Source organism: Homo sapiens, chromosome 8, assembly GCF_000001405.40.
Source record: "Homo sapiens chromosome 8, GRCh38.p14 Primary Assembly".
In the NCBI taxonomy this organism is placed as follows: domain Eukaryota; kingdom Metazoa; phylum Chordata; class Mammalia; order Primates; family Hominidae; genus Homo; species Homo sapiens.
Window position 1 is genome coordinate 26,076,847 of NC_000008.11, and position 3,889 is coordinate 26,080,735.

Here is a 3,889-nt window from a genome sequence, read left to right on the forward strand (position 1 = left end):
GTCCTGGGCTTCATCCAGTGAATTTCAATTAATAATACTAGAAAAAGTAGCAAGGAAGACGACATGTGTGTTAGCTGGAAATGTGAGAAAAGATTCAAAGGGCTACTTTGAAATACATATTTTGAAAAACTTTCTTGATAAGATGCAACTTGAAAGATTTTCCTAGCTTTCATTAATATAAAACACAAACTAAGACATGTTCTGGCACATTTGTGGCATGTCTAAAATCTTAAGCATCAAAAGATGACCAGCATAGACAATTTTTGGCTTATGAGCATGGAATGGCTTGTCCAGCAGCTTTCCGGGGAAGGGACCGCAGGGCTCTGACCCACCAGTGGCAGCCTCTCTCCACACCACCCCAGCACACACACCCCTATATCCACTGCCCACATCTCAGAGTCAGCAACGTTTGCTGGGCGAGAGTTGTGGGAGCTTTTACTGACCTGGACACAACCCTGCGAAGGCCTGAGATAAGGCATGCGGATATGTATGTACCCTCTAGCCATCCCCTTGCACACACACACTTATACATACATGCATACACATGCATACACACATGCTTACACACACACATACATACAAACCACATGCAGACAAGTACACAAAACACCTACACACATACATGAACATGCATACGTATGTACACACTTGCACGCACGCACACACACACAATTCTGGTGCAGGCCAGCCTTCCATAGGGAGCTGTGGTCAGCTCAGTCGCTCACTGCAGAGCTCAGTACTCTCTGACCATTGCTCCCTACAAAAACAAACTCCCGGCCAAGTTTGGCCTTTCTTTCATGCATTTAACTTCCAACTGAATGTTGTTGGACAGACTCTTGGACTTGACAGACAGCAAGTGTGAGAAGCTCATATCACCTCCCCTGTGAATGCTGCAGATGTACTGAGTGTGGGTCATTGGCATGGCCACCGTCAGAGGCCCGAGCCACCCTGTCCCTCTCTGTGCAGCCCTAAGGGAGGAGCGCTCGGTGCAGGCTGTGTGGCTGTGGAGGACTTCGTTCCCTGCTCTGTGGCTCCGAGTGAACCTCTGCTCTCCAAGCAGCCCCCTCTCCTCTGGGCTGTTGTTCAAGCCTCCAGGCTCTTTGCCGAACTGCTGAGACTTGAGGGAACAAAGGCTTTTATGACAAGTTTTATTAGTGATGCCTCCTGTGCTAACTCTCTGAGATGGGTCAATGCTATTAACCCTGTTTTACAGAGAGGGGAAGAGCCCCAGAGAGGTCAAATGCTTCCCTCAAGGTCATGCAGCATGTGTGGGGCAGAGGTAATTAGCCCCAGCCTGTCTGTTGGGCCAAGGGACAAGGAGGGTGTGCGATGCAGGGGTCTGGGGAGGCCACTCTTAATGATCCTGGAACTTGGACTTCAGGAAACCAGAGATGGGCATGGGGGCAGCATCCAGCACCTTTGCTGCTGTGTGACACCCTGCCCCCTGCCCTGTCCCACCTCCTGTCACAGCCCCCACTGTCTTCACTGCTGTGTGACACCCTGCCCCCTGCCCTGTCCCACCTCCTGTCACAGCCCCCACTGTCTTCACTGCTGTGTGACACCCTGCCCCCTGCTCTGTCCCGCCTCCTGCCACCAGCCCCTACTTTCCTTTTGCTCTGGAGAATGTCTCAATGCAACAATGCAAAACTACAAAAGACAAATAGAGCTACTTTGGAGTGAGGGTAGTAGATCAACTGCTCAAATGTAGCTAGGTTGTGGCTTATCAAAAACTTCAGTAGTTTGGCCAGGGCTGGTGGCTCATGTGTGTAATTTCAGCACTTTGGGAGGCCTGGGTAGGAGGATCACTTGAGGCCAGGAGTTTAAGACCAGCCTAGGCAACATAGTGAGAGCCTTTCTCTACAAAAAATTTTAAAAATTAGCCAGGTGTAATGGCCTACACCTGTAATCCCAGCTACTCAGGAGGCGAAACAGGAGGATGGCTGGAGCTCAAGTTTGAGGCTGCAGTGAATCATGATTGTGCCACTACACTCCAGCCTGGGCAACACAGCAAGAACATCTCTCTAAAAATAAAATTTAAAAAAAAAAACAGCTTCAGGGAGCTTCTGGAACCATAAGCCAGAGTCCAAAGGCAGAACAAGTAAGAAACTGGATTATCCATATCTTGATTTTCTTCCAACTGATACCAGAACACACAGGTCTCCCCAGCTGAATCGCTTGCCCCGAGAGGGAGGGGTGAGGGATGCTGCACTGCCCACTCTAGGCTCCTCTCTGCCAGTTCCCAGCACTTTGTATGTGGCTGGACACACAGGAGAGGCTTGTACTTACTTGTGGAAAGGAAATGAAAGAAGAAGGCCAAGCTAAGACTACAGACACGCAAACTGGGAAAACACAAAAACCAAAGGCCACAAACCTCAGCTCAGAAAGCAGGTCCCCTCAGCCAAAGCCTGTGTTTATGCCTGGCCCTCCCGGGGAGACTGACAACTGGCAAGGCTGCAAGCGTGTGCCGGTAACGGGGCATCCTGGGAGGGAGCCCGGCCCTGGGTGAGCGCCGCTGAGCTTGTGAATTTCTGCTGCCAGAGGCACGCGCCTTTGCCAAATGCAGCTGGCCCCTGCCAGTTCTGGAGGTTCCCAGGAATAGACAGGCCCCAGATTCACAGGCTTATGGATGAGCACATAAAGGAGTCAATGGGAGAGCCATCTATGGGGGGACCTTGGTGTCTTCCTACTTAAAACACTGCCCCTCCTCATCCTCCTGGTCTTTCTGCCTGAGGATCCCACTCTTCAGCAAGTCTTTATCCTACAAGCCAGAATAAAGCTTTATTTTCCAGCTGACTTGAATAAGGTTTCTGTTACTTGCAACCAAAGAACCCTAGTGATTCATGTCCCAGGATTGCTGGGAGGTGCAATTGCACACACAGAGCTCTTAGCACAGTATCTGATACATGGGAAGCACTCGGTACCTGCCCATCATCATTGTCTTCAGTATTATTAGGATTATTGCTGTTAAATACATGCCGATGTATCAAAACAAACTGCATGTTGACCAGTTCTAATCCTCTGGCTGTGCACACACATCATCATTTGCTTTAGCTAAGTTCCACCTTCCTCTCACAGGGCCCACCTCAGATCAATCCGCCCCAGCAGCCCTTGAGAATTACTGTGCCCTTGCCAACCTCTCTCTGCCGAACTCTCGTCCTTCCCTGCTTCCTAGTTTTACCTGGTGTGGCATATAACTGTGATATAATCACGCCGACTGGGGCTGCTGCCCACAGCTGTCGAGTTGGACACAGCAAAGCCTTCTCTGCTTTGTGGGATCATCCTGGGTGTTCCACCTGGGCTTTCTCTTCCCACCTAGAATGTGAGCATCCCATGGAAGCAGAGCCCACTTGTTCTTTTCTTTTTTAAAAACAATTGATTACTTTTTTTTAGAGACAGGGTCTCACTCTGTTGGCCGGCTGCAGTGGTGCCATCATAGCTCACTGCAGCCTCAAACACCTGGTCTCAAGTGATCCTCCCACCTTAGCCTCCCAAGTAGCTAAGACCACAGATGTGCACCATTAGGCCCAGCTGTTTTAAAAATGTTTTGTAGAGACAGAGTCTTGCTATCTTGCCCAGGCTGGTCTACAACCCCGCCTCAAGCAATCCTCCTTCCTTGGCCTCCCAAAGTGATGGGACTACAGGTGTGAGCCACTGCACCAGCTGTATTCTTTCTTTTGTTTCTCTGTGAGATCTAGTGTGATGCTGAACACGTGGCAGAAAGAAAACTGATATTTACAGAGCATCCACCATGAATCCGACACCAGGCGAATGCTTTACCCATGTCCTCACATTAACTGTCACAGCAGTTCCTCGACAAGGTCATTGTTTTCTATATCCCTCAGGCCACACCAGCGTGGCAATAAAAATAGTCACAATGAAACTCTTAGAA

The 3,889-nt window shown here is 49.7% G+C and overlaps 1 annotated feature.

The window, feature by feature from the left end:
- Window positions 1,269-2,015: an enhancer, noted in NCBI's record as "H3K4me1 hESC enhancer chr8:25935631-25936377 (GRCh37/hg19 assembly coordinates)". NCBI's record gives its function as "activates a minimal SCP1, AML or CMV promoter by ChIP-STARR-seq in naive and primed H9 embryonic stem cells {active_cell/tissue: H9 hESC(naive and primed)}" and the evidence as "EXISTENCE:reporter gene assay evidence [ECO:0000049][PMID:30033119]".